The sequence below is a fragment of the Homo sapiens genome, chromosome 21 (assembly GCF_000001405.40).
Source record: "Homo sapiens chromosome 21, GRCh38.p14 Primary Assembly".
Lineage (NCBI taxonomy): Eukaryota > Metazoa > Chordata > Mammalia > Primates > Hominidae > Homo > Homo sapiens.
Genome location: NC_000021.9, coordinates 33,451,824 through 33,479,715, shown reverse-complemented (window position 1 = coordinate 33,479,715; position 27,892 = coordinate 33,451,824). Strand labels below are relative to the sequence as shown.

The 27,892-nt window shown below is 41.9% G+C and overlaps 1 protein-coding gene across 5 annotated transcripts in view; it reads left to right on the top strand.

Moving 5' to 3' along the window:
* Nucleotides 1–27,892, top strand: part of TMEM50B (transmembrane protein 50B) — a 47,489-nt gene that overhangs the window by 259 nt on the left and 19,338 nt on the right. For 3 of the 5 annotated variants that reach the window (NR_040016.2, XM_011529746.3, NM_006134.7), the window contains exons 2-6: nucleotides 10,790–10,929; nucleotides 12,594–12,706; nucleotides 14,307–14,374; nucleotides 19,211–19,303; nucleotides 23,932–23,989. Coding sequence is in view for 4 of the 5 variants with exons in the window: in XM_011529746.3 (XP_011528048.1) it covers nucleotides 10,831–10,929; nucleotides 12,594–12,706; nucleotides 14,307–14,374; nucleotides 19,211–19,303; nucleotides 23,932–23,989 (431 nt within the window). In the remaining variant the exon portion in view is untranslated. Of the gene's footprint in view, nucleotides 1–10,789; nucleotides 10,930–12,593; nucleotides 12,707–14,306; nucleotides 14,375–19,210; nucleotides 19,304–23,618; nucleotides 23,713–23,931; nucleotides 23,991–27,892 lie in introns of those variants that run through there. The other 2 variants (XM_047440988.1, XM_047440989.1) reach the window with 2 other exon arrangements.

Sequence of the window (27,892 nt, the reverse complement as noted above, 5' to 3'; positions counted from 1 at the left end):
CGTCCAGCCGGGTTTTCCCTGCGTTCGGCGCCGGCCTGCAGACTCGGGCCCGCGGAGCCCCCGCCGCCCCTTCTTGCCCCTGCCCGCGTCCCTTCGGGCCGACCGTGACCGTGGCGCCGCCGCGACCCGCAAGCAGCCCGGGGAGGCTGCCCTGCCGCGCTGTCACGCCGTCAGGTTGCGTTCCTGGGGAGGGCTGGAGAGGCTCCATCTCGTGCCTTTCACCTTCTCGCGCGGCGGGCACGGAGGCGACGGTTTTCGGGACGCCCTGCTGCGGCCGCGACGCCCTCCCGAGGCCGGAGCGAGGGCCCCGGGGCGGCTCCAGCCCTTCTTCGCCCCTCCCGTTTGCCCCGAACCATTGCTAGGAGCCTGTGTTTTCTGCACTTTTCTGATTTCATTCTTACGAGAGTCAAGTACAGAGGCGGGAGGGGAAAGGGAAGGGGAACAACATTCTTTCGAGAATTATAAACCTTGAGCTCCGTTAAATAAGTAGCAGCAGAGCATTGTCACTGGAGCAGTGGTAGTCGCGGGTAGGACCGTTTCGGTTTTTAGCCAATAGGCTGGTTAAAGGTACTTAAAACAGTAAGTTGGAAGGTGCTGAAATTCTAAGGTAAATACGTGACCTTTCAAAACCAAAGCAGTGAGACGGGCTAGGCTGGGCTGCTCCCCGCTGCGCGTGCCTGGGTCGGGGGGTGCGGAGGGGCAGGGGGCGGAGGCCTCGGACGGGACGGGGTGGGAGGGAAGTGGCATCCGCATCGTCTTACATCGCGCTGTAAGACCCGATTTTCTCTTTTCGGAGGATCCCATCTCCCTTCTCAGACTCTTCATCCTACCTGCACTGTGGATCCCTTGACACTTCAGAGGCTCTGAACTCTCAGGCCGGTCACACTTTTTCATCATTTTGTTTCTTGTCTTTTAAACCTGCATGCATTTCAAACGTAGAGCAAACATTAAACTTTTTTTTTAAACTGAAGATAGTGGTGCAAGACTTTGTTATTGAAATGCAAACCAAAAGTTATCTTGAATATTTATCGCGCTGGAAAAGCAGGTTTAATTAGAGTGAGGTGGGGACGTATATTTCTTCTTCCGGAGACACAGCCTTCCCACTCACCACCCCAATCCCTCCTCTCTGTCAACTAGGGTTACAGCAGCCTTACACTGGCTAGTCTTTTCTGAATTCTGAATTCACTTCTGGGGGCCAAGGTAAAGAATTTATCGTATTTTATCCTCATTTTCCTTTTCTGTTTTTTTTGAGACAGAGTCTCCCTCGTTGACCAGGCTACAAGTACAGTGGCCCGATCTCTGCTCACTGCAGCCTGCACCTCTAGGGTTAAAGGGATTTTACAGCCTCAGCCTCCCGAGTAGCTGGGATCACAGGCGCCTGCCACCATGCCTGGCTAATTTTTATATTCTTAGTAGAGAGAGAGTTTCACCATGTTGGCCAGGCTGGTCTTGAACTCCTGACCTCAAGTGATCCGCTTGCCTCGGTCTCTGAAAGTACTGGGATTACAGGTGTGGGCACCGCGCCTGGCCTTTTAAAGTGTATTATTATTATTTTTAAATTTATTTATTTATTTATTTTTTGAGACAGAGTCTTGCTCTGTCTCCCAGGCTGGAGTGCAGTGGCAAGATCTCGGCTCACTGCAAGCTCCACGTCCTGGGTTCACGCCATTCTCCTGCCTCAGCCTCCCTAGTAGTTGGGACTACAGGCGCCCACCACCACGCCCGGCTAATTTTTTGTATTTTTAGTAAAGACGGGTTTTCACCGTGTTAGCCAGGATGGTCTCGATCTCCTGACCTCGTGATCCACCTGCCTCAGCCTCCCAAAGTGCTGGGATTACAGGCGTGAGCCACTGTGCCCGGCCTAAAGTTTATTTTTAACTTATGTATATATATATATAATTTTTGAGGCCGAGTTTTGCTCTTGTTGCCCAGGCTGGAGTGCAATGGCGCTATCGTGGCTCACTGCAACCTCCGCCTCCCAGGTTTAAACGATTCTCCTGTCTCAGCCTCCCAAGTAAACTGGGATTACAGGCGCCCGCCGCCACGCCCAGCTAATTTTTGTATTTTTAGTAGAGACTCGAACTCCTGACCTCAGGTAACCCCCCCCCGCCTCGGCCTCCCAAAGTGCTGGGATTACAGACGTGAGCCACCGTACCTAGCCCGTTTTACTTTTTAAATGATTAAAGTAACATTCAGGTTGTTTAAAACATTTAAACATGACAGAAGAATATCAAGTAAAATTCAGACAGCGCAGAGGTATGTCAAGTTAGAATTCCTTGTTTGTTCACTCTTTACATCCTCAATTCCATTCCCTAGGAGGGTATTATATTATAATATTGCTCGGCAACTGATGATAATATAAGGACACATTTCCTTCATAAGCACGTGGAGACCTACCTCATTTCCTCCCAACCCCACCCCTCACTTTGGAGACCGGGTCTCACTGTGTTGCCCAGGCTGGAGTGCAGTGGTTCCCTCACGGCTTGCTGCAGCCTTGGGCTCAAACGATCCTCCCACCTCAGCCTCCTGAGAAGCTGAGACTATAGGCGAGTGCCACCATGCCTAATTTTTGTAATTTTTGTAGAGACGGGTTTCTCATATTGCCCAGGCTGGTCTTGAATTCCTGAACTCAAGCCATCCACCTGCCTCAGCCTCTCAAAGTGCTGGGATTACAGGTGTGAGCCATCCTGCCCAGCCAACTTGCCTCATTTTCAGAATGTTGCATGGTATACCGTTGTTTGGATGTACCCTAATATACATTTTTTGGTTCCTTATTGATGGACATTTTGACTGTTTCTGGGTTTTAGCCATTAAAAGCTTTGCTTTATGAAAATCTTTTTGTCGTTCTAGGGTAAGTTTCAAGTAGATAATATAAACAGATGATTGTACTTTGATATAATTTTATTTCACAAGGAATCTTTTTAAACTTAAAGTTGTTTTTTTTTTTTTTTTTTTGAGATGGAGTCTCACTCTGTCGCCCAGGCTGGAGTGCAGTGGTGCGATCTCGGCTCACTGCAAGCTCCACCTCCCGGGTTCACACCATTCTCCTGCCTCAGCCTCCCGAGAAGCTGGGACTACAGGCACCCTCCACCACGCCCAGCTAATTTTTTGTGTTTTTAGTAGAGACGGGGTTTCATCGTTTTAGCCAGGATGGTCTCAATCTCCTGACCTCGTGATCCGCTGGCCTCGGCTTCCCAAAGTGCAGGGATTACAGGTGTGAGCCACCACGCCTGATGTTATAACTTAAAAGATTTTATAATTTAAAAGCAGTAGCTAAATCTATTTGAATTAAATGCATTTCTAAGATTCCATATATTCTTTTATTATTTTTTGAGACGGAGTTTTGCTCTTGTTGCCCAAGCTGGAGTGCAATGGCGTGATCTTGGCTCACTGCAACCTCCATCTCCCAGGTTCAAGCAATTCTCCTGCCTCAGCCTCCTGAGTAGCTGGGATTACAGACATGCGCCACCACCTCGGCTAATTTTGTATTCTTAGTAGAGACGGGCTTTTGTCAGGCTGGTCTTGAACTCCCGATCTCAGGGGATCCACCCACCTAGGCCTCCCAAAGTCTTGGGTTTACAGGCATGAGCCACTGTGCCTGGCTCTATATATTCTTTTATATTTAGAGGCTGGAACAGAAAATTTTGAAGACTGTATTAAATAATAGAGGATTTATTACTCTTCTTACCACGAAGTGGTGTTGACCTTAAGGTTATATTGCCTCATTTAATTGGGTTGGCAGAAGTGATAAGAGAGGTCCTTCAGATTAGAGGGGGCTCTGCTGCCCAGGCCGGAGTGCAGTGGTGAGATCTTGGCTCACTGCAACCTCCACCTCCTGGGTTTAAGTGATTCTCCTGCCTCAGCCTCCCGAGTAGCTGGGACTACAGGTGCGTGCCACCACGCCCAGCTGATTTTTTGTATTTTTATTAGAGATGGGGTTTCAACGTGTTAGCCAGGATTGTCTTGTTCTCCTGACCTCATGATCTGCCCACCTTGGCCTCCCAAAGTGCTGGGATTACAGGAGTAAGCCACCGCACCCAGCTGCTTGTTCTTTTTTAAAAGTAATTTCTTCCTGGGCGCGGTGGCTCACGCCTGTATTCCCAGCACTTTGGGAGGCCAAGGCGGGTGGATCACGAGGTCAGGAGTTCAAGACCAGCCTGGCCAAGATGGTGAAACCCTGTCTCTACTAAAAATACAAAAAAGTAGCCGGGCCTGGTGATGGGCCCCTGTAATCCCAGCTACTTGGGAGGTGGGGGCAGATAACTGCTTGAATCCAGGAGGCGGGAGTTACAGTGAGCCAAGATCGTGCCACTGCACTCCAGCCTGGGCGACAGAGCGAGACTCCATCTCCCAAAAAAAAATAGTAATAATTTCTTTCATTGCAAATTTTATCTCAGGTACAAAAAAGCATATAAAACATGTATAATTTAAAGAATACTATTGCAATGATCATTTTGTATCCACTACCAGATTAAGAAACAAAATGTTTGGCCAGCCGCAGTGGCTCAACACCTGTAATGCCAGCATCTTGGGAGGCTGAGACAGGCAGATCACTGAAGACTGGGCGTTGGAGACCAGCCTGGCCAACATGTGAAACCCTGTCTCTACCAAAAATATAAAAATTAGCCGGTCGTGGTGGTGGGCACCTGTAATCTCCGCTACTTGGGAGGCTGAGGCAGGAGAATTGCTTGAACCTGGGAGGTGGAGGTTGCAGTGAGCTCAGATCACGCCACTGCACTCCATCCTGGGTGACAGAGAGAGACTCTGTCTTGGGGGTGGTGGCGGTGGGGGAACAAAATGTTTGCATTTTTTTCTTCCAGAGGTAGCCTCTGTCCTGATTTGTTTGTGTTTATCTTTCTCTTGCTTTTTTATTTTATTTATTTTTATTTTATTTTATTTTATTTATTTATTTATTTTTATTTTTATTTTTTTTTTTTTTGGTGACGGAGTTTCACTCCTGTTGCCCAGGCTGGAGTGCAATGGCACGATCTTGGCTCACTGCAACCTCTGCCTCCCGGGTCCAAGCGATTCTCCTGCCTCAGCCTCCTGAATAGGTGGGATTACAGGCATCCACCACCACGCCCAGCTTGGTTTTGTATTTTTAGTAGAGACAGGGTTTCACCAGGCTGGTGTCGAACTCCTGACCTCAGGTAATCCACCCACCTTGGCCTCCCAAAGTGCTGGGATTACAAGTGTTAGCCATTGCACCTGGCCTCTTCAGTTTTTCTTGTAGGTCTCAGTTTCATCGGGTATCATTCCTTTCAGCTTGAAGAATTCCCTTTAGCATTTCTTTCTTAGCGCAGGTTTGGTGATGAATTATCTCAATTTTTGTTTACCTGGAAGTACCATTATTTTACTCTTATTAAAAAAAAGAAAACTGGCTGGGAATGGTGGTGCACACCTGTAATCTCAGCATTTTGGGAGGCTGAGGCAGGCAGATCGCTTGAGTTCAGGAGTTTAAGACCAGCTTGGACAACTGGGTGAAACCCTGTCTCTCTTAAAAAAAACAACAACAACCCCCTCCCCTGCCCCCCAAAAAACACAGCTTTGTTGAGATACAGTATATATACTGTAACATTCACCTGTTTTAAGTGTACAGTCGAATGATTTTTAGTATTTACGGAGCTGTGCAGTCATTGCCACAATCTAGTTTTAGAATCTTGTAGCCTTTTGCAGTCACTTTGTATCTTTCTTCTCCCCATCCCTAGACAGCCACTAATCCGCTTTATGTCTATAGATTTGCCTATTCTGGATGTTTCTTGTAAATGGAATCACACAATATATGGTCTTCTGTCTTTTACTTAGTCAGTTGTTGAGGTTCGTTCATGTAGCATCTATCAGTAGGAACCTCTTTCCTTTTTGTTGCTGAATTTGTATTTCGTTGTATGGATGTGCTATGTTTTATTTATCCATTCGTTGATGTATGTTTGGTTGCTTCCACTCCGTGGCAATTACGAATAATGCTGCTATGAACAAGTTATTGTGAAGATATATTTTCATTTCTCTTGGGTAGTTAGATAGGAGTAGAATTGCTGTCACCTTCTTGTTTTTTTTTTTTTTTGAGACAAGGTCTCACTGTGTCACCTGTCATAGCTCACTGTAACCTCGAACTTCTGGGCACAAGTGATCCTTGCATCTCAGCCTCCTGAGTAGCTGAGACTACAAGTGCACACCACCATGCTTGGCTATCCTCATTTTTGGAGAATATTTTTGCTGGGTATAGAATTTGGGATTGAGTTTTTTTTTTTTTTTTTTTTTCTTCCGAGACAGAGTCTCACTTTTTTGCCCAGGCTGGAGTGCAGTGGTGCGATCTCAGCTCACTGCAACCTCCAGCTCCTGGGTTCAAGTGATTCCTGTGCCTCAGCCTCCTGAGTAGCTGGGTCTACAGGTAAGGGCCACCATGCCCAGATAATTTTTGTATTTTTATTAGAGATGGGGTTTCTCCATGTTGCCCAGGCTGGTCTTGAACTCCTGGCCTCAAAGCAGTCTGCCCACCTCAGTCTCCAAAGTGTTGGGATTACAGGCATGAGCCACCACACCTGGCCTGATTTTTTTTGTCTTAAAGCGTTATTAACAGTGTCATTCCTGTGTCTTCTAGTATCCTTTGTTCTGGTTAGAAGTGAGCCATCATTCCTATTGTTCTGTCTCTGTATATGTTGTATTGATTTTTTTCCCCATAAGACTGTTTCAAGAGTTTCTCTGTATCTCTGGTTTTCAGCAGTTTGATTATGATGTTTTCTTTGTATTTATCCTCCTTGGAGTTTGCTGAGCTTTTTGGATTTATAAGTTAATATTTTTCACCAAATTTGAGAAATTTTCATTTATTCTTTTTTTTTTTTGAGATGGAGTTTTGTTCTTGTTTCCCAGGCTGAAATGCAATGAATGGTGTGATCTTGGCTCACTGCAACCTCCGCCTCCCAGGTTCAAGTGATCCTCCTGCCTCAGCCTCCCAAGTAGCTGGGATTACAGGCATGTGCCATCACACCCAGTTTTGTATTTTTAGTAGTGACGGGGTTTCACCATGTTGGCCAGGCTGGTCTCGAACTCCTGACCTCAGGTGATCCACCCGCCTCAGCCTCCCAAAGTGCTGGGATTGCAGGTGTGAGCCACCGTGCCCAGCCCATCTATTATTTTTTTCAAAATTTTTTTATTTCTTATTCTGTCTTTTCTTCTTCTGGGAACTTTAATTACATATATTTTAGACCACTTAGTATTGTTCCTCAGGTCTCTAAATTGGATAATTTCTTTTGATGTTTAAGTTTACTGTCCTTTTCTTCTACTGTATCTAATCTGCGATTAAGTTCATTTAGTTAATTATTTATTTATTTATTTTTTAGATGGAATCTTGCTCTGTTGCCTGACTGGAGTGCAGTGGTGCAATCTCGGCTCACTGCAACCTCCGCCTCCTGGGTTCAGGCAATTCTACTGCCTTAGCCTCCTGAGTAGCTAGGATTACAGGTGCCTGCTACCATGCCCAGCTAAGTTTTTGTATTTTTAGTGGAGACGGGGTTTCACCATGTTGGCCAGGATGGTCTCGATCTCTTGACCTCGTGATCCCCCCGCCTTGGCCTCCCAAAGTGCTGGGATTACATGTGTGAGCCATCCTGCCCGGCCCATTTAATTTTTAAATTCAAACATTGTAATTTGCAGTTCTAGAATTTTCTTTCTTTCTTTTTTTTTTTTTTTAGGGGAGTCTCGCTCTGTTGCCCAGGCTGGAGTGCAGTGGTGCCATCTCGGCTCACTGCAAGCTCTACCTCCCGGGTTCTCGCCATTCTGCCTCAGCCTCCTGAGTAGCTGGGACTACAGGCGCCTGCCACCATGCCTGGCTAATTTTTTGTATTTTTAGTAGAGACGGGGTTTCACCATGTTAGTCAGGATGGTCTCGATCTCCTGACCTCGTGATCCGCCTGCCTCGGCCTCCCAAAGTGCTGGGATTACAGGCATGAGCCACTGCGCCCAGCCCCTAGAATTTTCATTTGAATCTTTTTACATTTTAATTTATTTTTTAGAGACAGGGTCTTGCTATGTTGCCTGGGCTGGGCTTGAAGTCCTGGCCTCAAGCAATCTTCCTGCCTCGACCTTCTGAGTAGCTGGGATTACAGGTGCAAGCCATCACATTGGCTCCTGATTCTTTTTTTAAAAAATAGTTTCCTTTTCTCTACTAAGATTCTCCATTGGTTCAGTTATTTTGACCATGTTTTCCTGTAAGTCCTTGAATATGATTTTTATAATGGGTGCTTTAAAGTCTTTGTCTGCTAATTTCAATATCTGAGTCATTTTGGGATTTATTTCTATTGACTGTTCTTTTTCCTCCTTAAAAATAGATCACATTTTCCTGGTTCTTTGCATGTCTAGTGATTTTTTTTTAGTATATATTGGACGTTGTGAATAATATGAGTCAATTTTGTTATCTTCATCTGAAAAGTATTGCTTTTTATTGTAACAGGCAGTTAAAATATTGGCTGATCACCTTGAAATTGTGGAGACTTGGTTTTATATTTTGTTAGGATATGTCCCCAAGGTGTTTACTGATCCTCCCTGACTTGGTGGAATGAAAATTCCAAAATGTCTCCCTTATTTTAAAGTGTTTGGGGCTCTCTTTGTGACTTACTCCTTTCCGAGATGTCCCCCTTCAATTTCCAGCTGTTATGGTGGTCCTGAACTCCCATCTTCTGGCATCTCAAGCCAAGAAGACTGTGGCTTTTTGCTGCCACTGTGGCCACTTTGTGCCAAGGGGACTCCCTGGGCTGGGAATGGGAGTTTAATGGGGTTCCTAAGGGGAACAGCTGATCCCACTTACTGTGTTTTCTTTCTTTTTTTTTCTTTGAGAGGGAGTCTCACTCTGTTGCCCAGGCTGGAGTGCAGTGGTGTGATCTTGGCTCACCCCAACCTCTGCCTCCTGGGATCAAATGATTCTCCTATTTCGGCCTCCTGAGTAGCTGGGATTACAGGTGCATGCTACCATGATTGGCTGATTTTTTTTCTTTTTTGAGATGGAGTCTTTCTCTGTTGCCCAGGCTGGAGGGCAGTGGCTCACTGCAAGCCCCGCCTCCCGGGTTCATGCCATTCTCCTGCCTCAGCCTCCCGAGTAGCTGGGACTACAGGCGCCTGCCATCATGCCCAGCTAATTTTTTTTTTTTGTATTTTTAGTACAGACGGGGTTTCACCATGTTAGCCAGGATGGTCTCTATCTCCTGACTTCGTGATCCGCCTGCCTTGGCCTCCCAAAGTGCTGGGATTACAGGCGTAAGCCACCGAGCCTAGCCGATTTTTTTTTTTTTTTTTTTTTTTGAGACACAGTCTCGCTTTGTCTCCCAGGCTAGAGTGCAGTGGCACAATCTTGGCTTACTGCAACCTTCGCCTCCCGGGTTCAAGCGATTCTCCTGCCTCAGATTTTTGTATTTTTAGTAGAGACGGGATTTCACCATGTTGGCCAGGCTGGTCATGAACTCGTGACCTCAAATGATCCACCCGCCTCGGCCTCCTGAAGTGCTGGGATTATAGGCGTGAGCCACCACGCATCTGGCTGTGTTTTCTTTCTTTCAAGGATGAAGTTTCTTTCAATTTCTGCCTGTTTTTCAGCCCTGTCCAGTGCTTTCAATTTTTTTTTTATTTCTTTCTAGAATTTATGGTGGCCTTGAAACATTTCATGTTTACATAATATCTTTGTTTTTAAAAATAGTATGCTACACTCCTATAGTTATTTAGGCACATGATTTTTCTCCTTCTTCCAGTTATGTCTTACTGCGTTACAGATTAATGCCAAAACCCTGTGGCTTAAAACAGTCATTTTATTATGTTTATTAGATTTTATGGGTCAGGAATTTGGAAGGGGCATAGCCAGGATGATGTATCTCTGCTCCATATATCTGGTGCCTTACCTGGGAAGGCTCAAACTTTTGGGATGGTGCTATAGCTGGATAGCAGTTACCTAAAAGTGTCTTTACTCATGTCTGGCAGTTAATACTAGCTGTTAGCTGGGACCTCAACTGTAACTGTGGGTCAGAACACCTATAAATGGTCTCCTTACAGCATGGTAGCCCAAGCATTAGTGTTCCAGAGAACCAGGCAGATGCTCCATTGCCTTCTGTGACCTGATCTTGGAAGTGGCATGGAGAAGTTACATAGCATCACTTCCTCTACTCTACTGGTCTACTAGTCTTTATTGTTGACCCAAATTCAAAGGTAGGACATAAATCTACCTCTCAATGGAAGAAGTGTCAAATATTTTAGATATGTTTAATTTATTTCATTTATTTATTTATTTTTGGACAGAGTCTTGCTCTGTTGCCCAGGCTGGAGTGCAGTGGCATAATCTTGCACTGCAATCTCTGCCTTCCAGGTTCAAGCAATTCTTGTTCCTCAGCCTCCCGAGTAGCTGTGATTACAGGCATGTGCCACCACGCCCAGTTAATTTTTTGTATTTTTAGTAGAGACAAGGTTTCATAATATTGGCCAGGCTGGTCTCGAACTCCTGGCCTCAAGTGATCTGCCCACTTTGGCCTCCCAAAGTGCTGGAATTACAGGCGTGAACCACCTCGGCACCTAGCTCCTAGACATGGTTTAAAACCATAGTGCTCATTTATCAAATAGCAAGCTCCCCCTTGGGTCCTAGCGTAGTCCTATATACATCTCAATTAGGTACTTGTTGAAGTATTGAATTTTTCTTAACTATAGTAGAATAGGACCTAAAGTAAAGTTGTGTGTAAAGCTTTAAGAAAGGAGTAAGGTATTTTACTTTTAGAAAACATTTTCTTAGGTTGATTAGTTTTTGTCTTTCTGTTTGTAGGATACAGCATTTAATGAAAAATTTATGCTTAAGAAGTAAAAATGGCAGGCTTCCTAGATAATTTTCGTTGGCCAGAATGTGAATGTATTGACTGGAGTGAGAGAAGAAATGCTGTGGCATCTGTTGTCGCAGGTATATTGGTAAGTGAGAAAGACTGGTTGGTGACATGTATCCCTTACCTTTTGCCCTGGAAATTAATGCCGGTTCCTTTGAACTGAGAATGGCTTTCCAGAACTATTTATTTCACTGCTGTTTTGTATAGATGATTATCAGAGTTCTAGATACTATTGCCAAGCAGAATATGGTAGGCCCTGGATTCATTTTGACTTTGTAAATGTGTACTTAATATCTTTTCTTCAGTTCCAGTGATAATATAATTATTATAGGCAATAGCATTTTTAACTTACTGATACAACATATATGTAAGTACTTTAAGATCCTTAAAGGCTCAGAATTTGATGTAACCCAAAATTATTGTTGTGACTTATTGAAGGTCAGACAACAGTGACAGTACTCTGCAGATAATAGTAACAACCTTAGGCTCCATTGGAACTGAAGCCCTGCAGCGGCTCTAGGGAAGAAATACCATCTCTGTTTCCCCAGCTGCAACATCAGGGGAGCATCAGAGGAAGAGATTTGTGAAGGAAACTATTGTTTAATTTTCTTTCCATCATTTTTTAACTTTAATTGAAAATGACAGGCATAAAACAAAAGCAGAGAGAATGGTATAAAGATTCCATCACCTCCTTTATCCCATGTGTCTATCATCCAGCTTAAAAAAAAAACACCCCAAAATCAGGACCTATCTTGGTTTATAATTCCATCAACCACTCTCTGTCCGCACTTTTTTTTTTTTTTTTAAAGAGACGAGGTCTTGCTATGTTGTACAGCTACTAGAGTACAGTTGCTATTTACAGATGTGGTCGTAGTATACTACAGCTTCAAATTCATGGTCTCAAGCAATCTTCCTGCCTCAGTCTCCCAGGTAGCTGGGACTACAGGTTCATACTACCATTCCTGGCTCCCACAGCATTTTTTGGAAGCAAATTTCTTTATCTGTTTACATTTTAAAAATTCATCTCTTTCAATGTACAGTTCTACACCTAAAGTCCAATAGAAAAACAAAATGAAATGAAGCAGAGCAAGAACTAACGATAATTGTGAAGCAGTCTGCTCACTGCAGTCTCCGCCTCTGACTTCCCAGGTTCAAGCAATTCTTGTGCCTCAGCCTCCCAAGTAGCTAGGATTAGAGGCACATGCCACCATGCCCAGCTAATTTTTGTATTTATATTTGAATGTTTTTGAGACAGAGTCTCGTTCTTTCGTCCAGGCTGGAGTGCAGTGGCGTGATCTCAGCTCATTGCAGCCTCCACCTCCTGGGTTTAAGCGATTCTCCTGCTTCAGCCTCCCAAGTAGCTGGGATTACAGGTGCCTGCCACCATGCCCAGCTAATTTTTGTACTTTTAGTAGAAACGAGGTTTCACCATGTTGACCAGACTGGTCTCAAACTCCTGACCTCAGGTGATTTGCGCGTGTTGGCCTCCCAAAGTGCTGGGATTACAGATGTCAGCACTGCGCCCGGCCTTGTATTTTTAGAAGAGATGAGGTTTTACCATGATGACCAGGCTTGAACTCCTGACCTCAAGTAATCCACCTGCCTTGGCCTCCCAAAGTGCTGGGATTACAGGCGTGAGCCTCTGTACCCAGCCCATTTATATGATCTGTAGGACAAAAGGAATGTTAAAAAGCAGGTATTGTGCTAGCAAGAGTTTTAATGTTTCAGTGACTTGGGCTGTGTTTTAAGTTTTTTACAGGCTGGTGGATAATGATTGATGCAGCTGTGGTGTATCCTAAGCCAGAACAGTTGAACCATGCCTTTCACACATGTGGTGTATTTTCCACATTGGCTTTCTTCATGTAAGTATGAAGATAATTCTCTATTCAAGGTGATTTTTCTAAAAATACTTTCCTGTTAATGTGCAGTGCTTTCTTGAATAACTTTTTAATTTATTTGATAGACTATTTTTTAACATGATACATACATAATTCCCATTTTATTACGATTTTTTTTAACCAAGAATGAGTGTTGGATTTGGTCATATATCTTTTTAGCACCTATAACAATTATCTTGTGATTTTTTTTTTTCCTCATATTTTTAAATCTGGTCAGTTACATATTTTGTCAGTTGCAAGATCTACTTTTTCGCATTTTAATACCTCTGAATATCAGGATGCATCTTACAGTCAGTGGTATCTTAGAATTATAATTGATAACATTTTTATTTCTTGTCAGTATTAAAAATTAATGGTGTATCTTAAAACTGATGGCTCTGAGATTTCATGAAACATGTTACGTTTCTGCATTTTTTTAGTAGTAAATCACCCGTAGGTGTTGTAGTACACTCAACTTTTACCTTGCAGTATTATTTTTATTTTTTTTAATGTGCTACTTGACTGTGTTTGCCAGTGTTTGAGGAAAAGGCAAGATTGGCCTCAAAAGAGATTTGTTTGTGGCTTTTGTTTTTATTAAATTATTTTTAAGTTTATGTTACCTCATTTCATAAAAAAGCTTGGAAGCTTTTTATGGATGTCTTTTAACAATTAAAAAATATTAAACATTAAGATTACATCATTTCCTTATACCATCAGGAGGTTTTTTTGTTTTTGAGACAGAGTCTTACTCTGTTGTTTGGGCTGGACCACACTGGTGTGATCTTGGCTCACTGCAACCTCTGCCTCCCGGGTTCAAGTGATTCCCTTGCCTCAGCCTCCCAAGTAGCTGGGATTACAGGTGCCTGCCACTACGCCCAGCTAATTTTTTGTATTTTTAGTAGAGACGGGGTTCCACCATGTTTGCCAGGCTGGTCTTGAACTCCTGACCTCGTGATTTGCCTGCTGTGGACTCTCAAAGTGCTGGGATTACAGGTGTGAGCCACTGCACCTGGCCAGGAGTTTTAAAAAGGTTATATTTTGGAAAATGGAACTACTTATATCCATTGTGGCTTCTAAAAAAAGGAAATTCCTGTTACTAATTAATGTACCTTGCTCTAACAAAAATGGAAGGGGAAGCTGAATAAAGTGGGCATATTATACATAAGCTACATTTTCTCTGAGCTTAAGAAATGGATCATAGAAAATCACTTGACTTTTAACACAAAGAGAAACTGTTTAACTCTTGATAATAATGAGAACCTTGAAGTGGGATAGCACTGAGTCATTCATGTATAAATGTGAAATAGACAAAGAATCCAGAAAACTGGTCCCTCTTGTATAATCTCTGGAGAGAAGTGATAGAAATCTCTTAAAATAAATGTGTTTTCTGGGTGTACTTTATGAAAATAAGACTAATGTAACATTTCTATCAACTAGCATTTTTATTAGGTTAAAAATATGTTAAATTATTCAGATACTGATTTTAGTTATGAAATAATCTGTTTTCCGTCTAAGTGTTATATAAATATTTGAGTATTTTAACAGCGAATACTGAAATTCATTTGATGATTTTGTGCCGTTCTAGGATAAATGCTGTATCCAATGCTCAGGTGAGAGGTGATAGCTATGAAAGCGGCTGTTTAGGAAGAACAGGTAAAGATACTTTGAGCTGTTAATGGGTGTTGACAAAACAGAAATTTGTCACCAGAAAAAAAGCCTCTCTTGTGAGTCTTTATTCAAGACTGGTAATGATTATATAGAATATTTTTTATTTGCTTTAAAACAAAGTTTTAGTGTTATTCAAATCCTTAAGAAAGTAAGTTATTGCTAGAAGTTACTGTTTTTGTCATGTTACACTGCCCATGATATAGATAAAAAATGTTGCTATTCAAATGGATCTTGGACTCCAGTGCTAATGATGGATTTATTATTATCCCAATTGTTGACCAATAATGTTACTTACAAGATGGCTGACTATGATTATTAACAGGAAAGTAATGAACACATTAGGGGATCAAACCTAGGACTACAGTGTCTTTACATTCACTTCTGATCACCTGAGTAGCCACCTACAGACTGCAACAAAATTGTTCAGTAGAAAGATGCTATTTGTCTACACATAAATTAGTTTTTATAGTTTGAATTCATTTGAATTGTTATCCAATTTTTGTTTTTTTTTTTTTTTTTTTTGAGACGGAGTTTAGCTCTTCTTTCCCAGGCTGGAGTGCAGTGGTGGGTTTTTGGCTCACCACAACCTCCACCCCCTGGGTTCAAGCAATTCTCCTGCCTCACCCTCCCGAGAGCTGGGATTTCAGGCATGCGCCACCATGCTTGGCTAATTTTGAAGTTTTAGTAGAGATGGGGTTTCTCCATGTTGATCACGCTGGTCTCGAACTCCCGACCTCAGGTGATCCACCCACCTTGGCCTCCCAAAGTGCTGGGATTACAGGAGTGAGCCACCGAGCCCGGCCCAATTGTGTTTTTTAAACATTTACGGCCGGGCGCAGTGGCTCACGCCTGTAATCCCAGCACTTTGGGAGGCTGAGACGGGTGGAACACCTAAGGTCAGGAGTTCGAGACCAGCCCTGCCAACATGGAGAAACCCCGTCTCTACTAAAAAATATACAAAATTAGCCAGGCGTGGTGACACACTTCTGTAGTCCCAGCTACTTGGGAGGCTGAGGCAAGAGAATCGCTTGAACCCGGGAGGCAGAGGTTGCGGTGAGCCGAGATCACCTCATTGGACTCCAGCCTGGGCAACAAGAGTGAAACTCCGTCTCAAAAAAAAAAAAAAAATTTACATTATAATATGAAGAAATTAAGGTACAGTGGGCTTACATAATGTGTCCAAAGTCACAGAGCAAGTAAGTGGTGGAGCCAGGATTGAACATGGACAGTCTGGCTCCAGAGCCCATGCTTTTAGCCACTATGCTGTGCTTGTTTCCCATCTAGAACCATTTGGTCACTTTGTCTGGTTTGGTATCACGTGTATATTTTTTCTTTTTGTCAGCTTAATTGAATATAATTTAAGTATAATAAAATTCACTAATGTATTTATTATTTTATTAATTTTTTTTGAGACGGAGTCTCACTCTGCCACCCAGGCTGGAGTGCAGTGGCATGATCTTGGCTCACTGCAGCCTCAACAGCCTGGGCTCGAGTGATCCTCCTGCCTCAGTTTCTCAAGTAGCTGTGATTATAGGCACATGCTGCTGTGCCCAGCTAATTTATTTATTTTTTGTAGAGACAGGGTTTTACCACGTTGTTCAGGCTGGTCTTGATCTCCTGGCCTCAAGCTATCCACCTGGCCTCAAGCTATCAGCCTCCCAAAGTGCTGGGATTGCAGGCATGAGCCACCACGCCTGGCCAGAATCCACCAATTTAAAGTGTACAATTTGATGAGCTTGATCAAATGTGTACAGTTACAGTTGTGTAACTACCACTACAATCATGATACAGAACATTTCCATTGCCCCAAAAAGTTCCCTCATACCCCTTTTTATAGTTAATACTCTTCCCCTCACCTCGTGGCCACTACTGATCTACTTTCTATGATGGTTGCTTTGCCTTTTCTATGATTTCATATAAATGGGATCATATAGTAAGTATCATAGCCTTTTAAACCAAATAAAGCAGCTTTGAAGAGCTTAGCTTTCTTTTCTACTTGATGTTTTATTTTTTAAATTTTGTATTTATTTTGTTTGAGACGGAGTCTCGCTCTGTCACCCAGACTGGAGTACAGTGGTGCGATCTCAGCTCATTGCATCCTCCGCCTCCCAGGCTCAAGCAATTCTTCTGCCTCAGCCTCCTGAGTAGCTGGGATTACAGGTGCCTGCCACCACGCCTGGCTAGTTTTTGTATTTTTGGTAGAAACTGGGTTTCACCATGTTGGCCAGGCTGTTCTCAAACTCCTGACCTCAGGTGATGCACCCGCCTTGGCCTCCCAAAGTGCTGGGATTACAGGCATGAACCACCATGCCCAGCCTTCTACCTGATGCTTTAAATGCTGATGTAGATTTTGTAACCTCACTTCTACTGGAATCCATGGAGAATTTGCGAGAGGGTATAATGACAAATGACAGATGAGCCTAAGTTTAAAGTGCACAATATGTGTGTGTATGCGCATGCGATCGCGCTTACTTTTCATCATATCCTGTATGTCAGCCTCAGCAGTAATGTCAGGAATGAGGGAAGGTAAAGAAAAAATATATATTAGCAAGTGAAGATGTTGTATGTAGAGCATACAATAATGTACTCCATCATTTTTCTTTCAAGAATATTCCACGGACATTGCTGTGAATTATGTTACTATTATCTTTTTTTGAGACGAGGTCTTGCTCTGTCTCCCAGGCTAGAGTGCAGTGGCATGATCATGACGCAGAAAAGCCTTGAACTCCTGGGCTCAAGCAATCCTCCCCTCTCAGCCTCCAGAGTAGCTGGGATTACCGGTGTAAGCCACTGTGCCTGGCCACTATTATCTGTTTTTTATAGGAAGTTTCACTGTAACTTATCCAAAGTTTTTTAGCTTAAAAGTGGAACCTGTATTTGTCTTTGGTCTGTCTGGTTCCCAAGCCCGTCGTTTTTACCCTAAGTGATTATTATATTTTATTCTATGATATTCCCTATTCTATTAAAATTAACAGTACAGTTTATATTTTTATATTGTGCATATAGTGCAATTTCTGTTTAGTGTTTCAAAAATTAAGGACAAACTGTCTTATAGTCATGCCCAGGTATTGCTACTCTTAAGCTTTTGTACTGCTTAAGTGGTTTATCTGTAAACTATCTCTATTTAGTTCCCGGAGGAATTAATAGGAAAGTATCAAAATAATAAATATACTATAAATGAAACAGCTAAATAATAAAACTATAAAAAAGAACAGGAACTAGGTAGAAAAATGATCATTGTACTTAGAACCTGGGACAAGATGGATGCTTTTAATTGTTCATTAACCTTAACTCAGAGCTTCCTTGTAGCCAAAGCAAACAAGAGAAAATGTTACAGTTTTATTTTTTTGCTAAACAAAAGCATACTTCTTTTTCTTTTTTTTCTCTTTTTGTTAATATGCCCTCAGACATACTTACTTTACAAGAGAAATTTTTTTCTTGTTTAATTCTATTAGAAAGTTTAATGTATATAGCCATAAATAAAGGACATGATGGAAAATAATTGTAAGGATTTTTTTTTTTTTGAAACAGTTTTGCTTTGTTGCGCAGGCTAGAGTGTAGTGGCATGATCTTGGCTCACTGCAACCTCTGCCTCTCAGGTTCAAGCAATTCTCTTGCCTCAGCCTCTTGAATAGCTGGGACTACAGGCACCCGCCACCAAGCCCGACTGATTTTTTTTTCTTTTAGTAGAGATAGGGTTTTACCATGTTGCCCAGGCTGGTCTCGAACTCCTGAGCTCAGGCAATTAGCCCACCTTGGCCTCCCAAATTTCTAGGATTACAGGTGTGAGCTACCATGCCCCGCCTTTAAGGATTTTTAATAGTTCCTTTTATTCACGTTAGATAAAAGCTATGATTGAATATAATTTAGAGATTGTATTTCTCCAAAGAACTAAACATTACTGTTTATTTCTGGAGATCTGCTTAGTATTGTAATAAAATTTAGATAATATAGAGACCTATTTCTCTCAGATATCAGCTGTTCTAACCATTATGAACTTTGATCAGTGCTTCTTCCTTATCTGGTGTCTAAAATGAATCTTTTCCCTGGTAACAAAATATTTGCAACTGAGGCAAATTTAGTTTTCTGTTATGGAAATTGGCTAGGATTTTATTTTTACTTCAGTGGAGCTTTCTTCCCCTTCCAGAGGTTGATGGGGCTGTCAGTATACCTGTGAACAGGATCTGGTGCAAGTATTAACCTGCTTTCCTAAAAATATGTTGAATCTACTCAAGTGTCCAGATGATTTACATTATCGAGATCTAGAATTTTGTTCAATACAGGGTTGAAGAGATACTTCTGATCTTGAAGTTTTCATGAATATGTGGTACAGATTGGCTGCCTCAGCAATAAAAAAGCCTGAATATACTCCTAAAGAATGGCCGTTATTTGTACCATATTGAATAATGGTGTGATTATAGAAGCTTACCATTGATTAAAAAGGGACATATTAGTCCTTCTTCATTTGAAGTCTCTCATTCCTATGTGGTGATGGCTATCCAGAATACATGTGCTACTTTTAATAGAGCAATTATTTTGGTAATATATACAACAGTGTAATTTTTTAATTAGGGCATTCGTTTCTCTAGTCAGTAAAAAGGTAACTTTCTTTTTTTCCTTTTCCATGTATGGTTTAACTTCTTTTAGTGTTTTTTTTTTAAATCATCATTCATTTAACTTACAGCAGATTTATATAAATATATGACTATCTTTGATATGCATAATATATACTAGGCTAACAGGGCTCCTAGTATTATGTATTCCTAAGACGTTACAGAGCTGCAAAAATGAACAAAATCATAAAGCCTCTTCTCTACACAGGTGCTCGAGTTTGGCTTTTCATTGGTTTCATGTTGATGTTTGGGTCACTTATTGCTTCCATGTGGATTCTTTTTGGTGCATATGTTACCCAAAGTAAGTATATATTCTTCTTGTATTTTATAGGAGAGATTCAGATATGTCTTTTATATTTGGCTTACTCTACCTTGAGTACAACTTAGTATAATTGTTCACTTAGATTGAAGATACTGCTCTGTGTGAAGATACATGAGTTTAATAAAACTTGTCAGTGGGAACACTTAGTGCAGTAGGATAGCCCTGGTTAGGAAATCCAAGCCACTGACAAAGCTGGTACCTCTCAGCTGTCTCCAGACTTTCTGCTTTCCTTCTTTACCTTAGACAGCCAGGATTTTATGCTAGAGGCCCATTTACTGGGAGTTGCAGTAGAAAAAGTGAGAAACCAGTACAGGTGTACACTCCCTTATATACAATTCTAAAATCCACAAAATGCTGAAAATCAAGTTATTTATAACTAGTCTGGCAGCAAAACCTGACCTAAACTGACATGGAGCTCACTATTTTCTTTATCCCATTTAGTGTAAGTATTCAAATGTTTTATTGTAGGAATGAAAATAGATATATTAGATTATAGGATGTGCTTGTCTATACCCAGCTGGCGGTGCTATGTAGTATATGTGCTTTCCCTTACTGTTCTTAAACCTGAAGAATTCTGAATCCCAAAATATATCTTGCCCCAGGGATTTCAGATAAGGGGTATAGACCCCTTATCTGATAATCTATGGATTGCCAGTAGATAATCTTTCGTTTCATTGACACCTTCTCTCTCCAACCTAATCCTGTAATTTTTTTTTTTTTTTTTGAGACGGAGTCTCACTCTGTCACCCAGGATGGAGTGCAGTGGTGTGATCTCGGCTCACTGCAACCTCCGCCTCACAGGTTCAAGTAATTTGCCTGTCTCAGCCTCCCAAGTAGCTGGGATTACAGGTGCACGCCACCACACCCAGCTAATTTTTGTATTTTTTTAGTAGAGACAGGGTTTCACCATGTTGGCCAGGCTGGTCTCAAACTCCTGACCTCAAGTGATCCACCCATCTTGGTCTCCCAAAGTGCTGGGATTACAGGTGTGAGCCACCATGCCCAGCCAATCCTGTAATTTTTAAGTCATGGGTACAGGGGGAGTTTTTTAAGGGCAAGACTGAACACATATGTATACTCTTCATACAGAAACAGCTGATGGAGTGGGATGAGCTCTTATTACACCATGCTGAAATCTGTGGCTCTGCCAGGTGCCATAGCTTTTCATTCACAGTAGTGATGAAAAATAGAACCCAGTTTCAGAAATGTCTCTGGAAGCGTCGGAAGACTGTTTCACTGGCCCTCTTCCTTTGCTCCTAAGACAGGAGTCAGTTTCAGAGAACGCAATTTATTCATCCTCTGACTCCTCTACCTCTGGAATCTCTTTGTCAGCCTTCTTTGCTTAACTGTCACATCTCCTTGTCCTGACTCACAGCTGGTTTTTGAATACTTTTGATAGTATCATTTAAGTCTCATAGTTTGATCAGTATAAGATCTTTGGAATACTTTTGTTTTTCTTTTGTCTTTCACTTGATACAAAATAAGTCAGATTACAAGAGGACAGTGGTTGGCTTAAATAACATTGGTCACCAACTGTATCTAAAATGTGTTTTTTAGTTAATTAAAAATACTACTAGAGCACATAATTCTGGTATGAAGCATATCTGAAGGAAAATGCTTTTTTAAAGATAGCTTCATTGAGATATAATTTGCATACCATATAATTCAGCCATTTAAAATATGCAGTTCAGTGTTTTTAGTATTTTCACAGAATTATGCTACCATCATCACAATCCAATTTGAGAATATTTTTATCACTGCCATACCCATTAGCAGTCACTCCCCATTACTCCTTCCCCTAGCCCTAGGCAGCCACTAATGTACTTTCTGTCTGTATCTATTTCATACACATGGAATCTTATAGGAAAGTGTTTTTTTGAGACAGAACCTTGCTCTGTCGCCCAGGCTGGAGTGCAGTGGCGTGATCTCGGCTCACTGCAACCTCTGCCTCCCAGGTTCAAGCAATTCTCCTTTCTCAGCCTCCTAAGTAGCTGGGACTGCAGGTGCATGCCACCACGCCCAGATAATTTTTGTATTTTTAGTAGAGATGGGGTTTCACCATATTGGTCAGGCTGGTCTCGAATTCCTGACCTCAGGTGATCCACCCACCTCAGCCTCCCAAAGTGCTGGTATTACAGGCGTGAGCCACTGTGCCCAGCCGGAAAGTGTGTTTTAAACTCATTTTATCCCTGACTGTAAGAAGGGTGGGCTGCTGTCACTGATTTTCTTAAAAGGTCTCCATAGTTATGTTAAAGAAAAACTTTAGATAAATTAGCAATTTGAGCAAACCAAGAAGAGGTTCGGAGAGCTTCACCCAGCAGCATGAGCAGCTGTAGGCTGAACACAAGGCAAAGACAAGAAATTTTTAGATTGTCTGTAGCTATATGTTTGTCTTATTTGTGCATGGTCTCATCAGTTGGCTGCTTGGGATTGGCTAAAGCTTAGCCGTTTGTGATTGACTAAAATTCAGCTATTTATTAAAAAATATAACCCTAGGTTTCAGTTCGTTTACGTAAGTTAGGTTCCGGGGGGTGGGTTGGGGTCACACAGGAACTCAGAGTAGGGAGATAGCCTCAGGTTAATGGCTTCCTGCTTATTTACTTTAGCAGTTGAAGTGATCCATGAGCTTTACAGTTTCTATAGTGAAAATAGGGATAAATTGCCATTTCTGTAAGGTATGTAGGGAAATATTGTTTGTAAAGGCTTTACTATTGTTGAGTGTATTTTTTTTTTTTTTTTTGAGTTGGAGTTTCACTCTTGTCGCCCAGGCTGGAGTGCAATGGCACAGTCTCGGCTCACTGCAACCTCTGCCTCCCGGGTTCAAGCGATTCTCCTGCCTCAGCTTCCCGAATAGCTGGGATTATAGCCGCCTGCCACGACTCCCAGCTAATTTTTTGTATTTTTAGTAGAGACAGGGTTTCACCATGTTGGCCAAGCTGGTCTTGAAGTCCTGATCTCAGACGATCTACCCACCTTGGCCTCCCAAAGTGTTGGGATTACAGGCATGAACCACCGCTCCCAGCCAATTGTATCTTAATATTTAAAGAACTAGTAAATATTGATAAATTTCTTGATTGTGAATTTCATCTTTCTATTTCAACAGCATTACTCATTTAAATATACTTTTCTTTTTTTTTTAAGATGGAGTTTCGCCCTGTCGTCCAGGCTAGAGTGCAGTGGTATAGTCTTGGCCCACGGCAACCTCTGCCTCCTGGGTTCAAGTGATTCTCCTGTCTCAATCTCCCAAGTAGCTGGGATTACAGCCATCCACCACCACACTTGGCTAATTTTGTATTTTTAGTAGAGACAGGGTTTCCCCATGTTGGCCAGGCTGGTCTCAAACTCCTGACCTCAAGTGATCTACCCGCCTCGGCCCCCCAAAGTGCTGGGATTACAAGCGTGAGTCACCACACCCAGCCTAAATATACTTTTCTATTTGTAAAGTGAATATGACTTTATTTCAGAGAGCATTTCTAGGCCATGTTTCAAATCTTTTACTGTACAGATTTGCTTGAACTATTAATATTCATAGTAATAGCTAACTTTTATATATTACTTTATAGGCTAGATACTGTTCTAAGCACTATATAGAGTCACTCATCTAATTCTTACACTCTGGAGTAGGTGCTATTACAATGCCCGTTTTACAGGTGAGGAAATGAAGATATGCTGAGGTTAAATAATTTGCCCAAGGTCATACAGTTAGTCATTGGTATAGATAGGATTCAAACCTGGGTCTGGCTCAAACTTGGAGCTCTTAACCATGCTGCTGTATTGTTTGCTATGATATCAAGAGCTCAGAATTGAACCAGTTTCTTCATCTTCTCCAGTATTTTTTAAATCAACATTTGTAGTTTTACAAAAGTTAATAATCCACAAAAATTTAAGTAGTTTCCATTTTGTTTCTTTTCTTTTCCTATAAAGATAGTAACCATTTCCTCCAGGATAGATTCAGTGAAAGAGAATGATAAATTCTAACTGTGTTATTTATATCTGACATATTTGCATGATAAAACTCCTGGATTGAGAGCCAGGCATTGTGGTGTGTGCCTGTAGTCCCATCCACTTGGGACGCTGAGGCAGGAGGATCACTTGAGCCCAGGAGTTTGGGCTGTAGTTTGCTATGATTGTGCCTGTCAGTAGCTGCTGCACTCCAGTCTGGGCAATATAGTGAGGCCCCATTTCTTTAAAAACAAACACAAAAAACCTCTTGAATTCATGAAAGAAAATAAATTAACAGACTGTTTAAAAGTCAAGAATTTATTTTGTATGTTTTTACGATTTTGCATTTCAGTGTTGGCCATAGGAGGCAAAGGAGCAAGTTACTGCTTCCTCAGCAGTTTTGATGTAGCTAGAACCAGCAATTACTTTGACTAAAAGAAAACTTTGTAAGTTCATTGACTTTTATCCAGAGTAAGAGCAGTCCTTTGCTTTGGGGGAATTAAATTGGCATTTTCTTCTTTCAGTTTCATTATAGATGTCTTACAGTTAATGAATAATAGCAGTATGTTGTAATATACAAAATGTATCATTATGAATGGCACTGATACTTTATTACTGCCGTTTGCCTATATAACCGTCTAATCTGTTTTACTTTGTGTATGTAGATACTGATGTTTATCCGGGACTAGCTGTGTTTTTTCAAAATGCACTTATATTTTTTAGGTAAGTTGCCTTATTTTTTAACCACGCCTGTAACATTTACAGAAATGTCAACTTAATTAAGGCAGCATATATATGGAACACATATAAATCCCATGGATTGGTTACAATGATAGAACTTCTTTTAAAAGGTGAGAATTCCACTGTTACATAAGAGCAGAGAGGCCTTTTAACTAGAGGTCTTGCTGTGTATCAAGACTTTAGCTGGATCCTTTATATATTTTACCCTTTGAATTCACATTTAGGCCAAGTGCTGTGGCTCATGCCTGTAATCCCAGCACTTTGGGAGGCTGAAGTGGGTGGATTGCTTAAGTCTAGGAGTTTAAGACCAGCCTGGGCAACATGGCAAAACCCTGTCTCTATAAAAAAATATAAAAATTATCTGGTTGTGGTGGTGTACAGTGCCAGCTACTCAAGAGGCTGAGGTGGGAGGATTGCTTGAGCCGAGGAGGTTGAGGCTGCAGTGAGGCAAGGCTGCACCACTGTACTCCAGCCTGGGCAATAGAGTGAGACCAAAATAAAATAAAATAATGCATTTAATTATTTTAAATATATGTCAGGTGTTATTCCCATTTTATTTATTTTTATTTTTATTTATTTATTTATTTTTTGCGAGGGAGTCTCACCCTGTAGCCCAAGCTGCCTTAGTGCAGTGGAACAATCTCGGCTCACTGCAGCCTCCGCCTCGGGACTCAGGCGATTCCCATGCCTCAGCCTCCCGAGTAGGTGGGACTACAGGTGCACACCACCACACCCAGCTAATTTTTTGTATTTTAGTAGAGACGAGGTTTCACCATATTGCCCAGAGTGGTCTCGAACTCCTGAGCTCAGACAATTTGCCTGCCTCGGCCTCCCAAAGTGCTGGGATTATAGCCACCACACCCAGTGTTATTCCCATTTTATAGATGAGGAAATAAAGTTTAGGGCTTGCTTTAGGATGCCTAGCTAGTAAATGAGAAGCCTGGATTTGAATCCAGACTGCTGCTTCCATAGCCTGTGTCTTATTAAAAAACCCTATCAGACCCATTGTTTCACTTGACTAGCCTTTCGGGAAAAAAAAAATTAACAACAACAGGTAAAGTACCTTTATGAAGAAAAAAGGAAAAACCAGAATTAATACCTAGTGGCCAGCCAGGTGTGGTGGCTCATGTCTGTAATCCCAGCACTTTGGGAGGCTGAAGTGGGTGGATCATCTGAGGTCAGGGGTTCGAGACCAGCCTGGCCAACATGGTGAAACCCCATCTCTAATAAAAATACAAACATTAGTCGGGCATGGTGGTGTGTGCCTGTAATCCCAGCTACTCGGAAGGCTGAGGCAGGAGAACCACTTGAACCCAGGAGACACGGGGGTTGGAGTGAGTCGAGATAGTGCCACTGCATTTCAGCTTGGGTGACAGAGCAAGACTCCATATCAAAATAATAATAATAATTAATACATAGTATGCATATTATATACAAAACCTGTTGGGAAATTCTGTTTTCTGAATGCCCTTTTAAGAAAAGTTAAAGTAAGTGGAAAAATAAACCAATATTAAAAGTATTTTTTAGGGGCAGTCTTCTAAAATATCCCCAAAATGAAGTCCATTCTATGCTTTTTAGAATGAATGTCTTTTTTTTTTTTTTTTTTGAGCTGGATTCTCGCTCTGTTGCCCAGGCTGATGTGCAGTGGTGCAATCTCAGCTCAATGCAACCTCTGCCTCCCAGGCTCAAGCAATTCCGTGCCTCAGCCTCCCAAGTAGCTGGGATTACAGGCATGCACTGCCACACCCAGCTAATTTTTGTATTTTTAGTAGAGATGGGGTTTTGCCATGTTGACCAGGCCGGTCTCGAACTCCTGACCTCAAGTGATCTGCCCACCTCAGCCTCCCAAAGTGGTAGGATTACAGGTGTGAGCCACCATGCCCAGCCTAGAATGAATGTCTTTTAATGTCAACATAGGATATTTAGGTATATATTTATAAAATTTTATCTGCCTCTGTCCCCATCCCCCATAAATCATTAAGTAACTTCTAAGCCTTGAAAAACTTTGCTTTTGTCACTGGTTTTAAGTAATTTGATTACGATGTACTGTGGTCTAGTTTTCTTGATATTCCTTCTGCTTGGTGTATATTGAGTTTCTTGGATCTATAGGTTTATAGTTCATCAATAAATCTAGATTCTTCTCAGCCATTATTTCTTCAAGCATTTTTTGTATCCACTGCACCCTCCCTCTGGGATTTCAATTACAGGTTATAATAGGCTGCTCGAAGTTGTCTCACAGCTTGCTAATGGTCAGATTTTTTTTTCCTGTTTGTGTTTCAGTTTGGATAGTTTCTATTGTTACATTTTAAAATTAATCTCGGCTGGGCATGGTGGCTCACACCTGTAATCTCAACACTTTGGGAGGCCAAGGCGGGTGGATCACTTGAGGTCAGGAGTTCGAGACCAGCCTGGCCAACATGGTGAAACCTCATCTCTACTAAAAATACAGACATTAGCTGGGCATGGTGGTGCATGCCTGGAATCCCAGCTACTCGGAAGGCTGAGGCCAGAGAATCACTTGAACCCGGGAGGCTGAGGTTGCAGTGAGCTGAGATCACACCATTGCTGAGCAACAGAGCGAGACTTCATCTCAAAATAAATAAATACATAAATAAATAAAATTAATCTCTCTATTGTCACTTTGAAGAATTAAATAAATTAATCTCTACTTCTGCAATGTCTAATCTATGCCATCCAATGATTTTTTCATCTCAGACATTGTATTTTCTCTCTCTAGAAGCTTGATTGGGTCTTTAAAAATATTTCTGATGTCTTCCCTTAACATGCTCATGCCCTCTTCCACCTTGAACACACAGAGTATATTTATAGCTATCTCAGGGTCCTTGTCCAATTGTCTGTGTCATTTCTGCATCTGCTTCTACTGATTTTTTCTGCTTCTGTTTACTCTTCATTTTGGACCTATTTTCCCTTATTTGGTGCTTTGCATACAATTTGTTGGGACTGGATCTTTGCTAGTCCTTTAAATGTTTTTAAGCTTTGTTTTGGGATGCAGTTAGGTGACTCAGAAACAATCAGAAACAATTTGATCCTTTTATGTCTCTTAAGCTTTGTTATAGGCAGGACCAGAGCAGCTGTAGCCCAGGACTGATTTGTCCCCCTACTAAGGCAGTCATACCCTTTGAGTGTTTCCACTCTCTGATGCTTCATGTATTCCGAGGTTTCTCTACTCGACTTGTGAGAGTATGAACTCTCTTCCAGCCTTGTGGTAGCTCTGGGACATGTTCTTTCCAGTGGTTCTTTCCTTCCCTTGGGTAGTTTCCTCTTATGTATAGACTCTTCAGTACTCAGCCACAGACTGAAGGAGCACCCCCTGCAGATCTCCTGCGTTCCCTCTGTGTGGCTGTCTGTACGCTGCATGGCAAACTCTAGCCATGTGGTCTCCCTCCACTCTCAGACCACCATGCTCTACCTGGATTTCGCCTTGTGGCCTTGACACTCCTGGTTTTGAAAGATGTTTGGCAGTTTCTGCTGTCTTATATGTCAAAGACATGTGACTGACAGCCTTCTGGGGATATGGTAAGTTGTTATGAAGACATTTTAGGCAGTCTTTAGAGATTAAGTTCAGATTCAACACTTTGTGGTGGTAGATGAATCCACTTAAATGACAATTGGATGAACAGAAACCTTGTATGCTCAGGTGGACATAGTTGACAGCTGTGTCATCTATGTGCTCTGCCCAGAGGCTGGCAAGTTATCAGGCAGCCTGTATGCTTCCTGTGTGCTGGACCTGTTCTAAGCTCTGGGGTACAACCTCTTTTATTTACATCTCTGGTCACTCCTCTGTTTTCCTTGCAAGCTGATCCTCCACTCCCTGCCTACTACCTTTTGAAGTCTCTTAAAGCTGTTCTTGGCCTTAAGAAACTC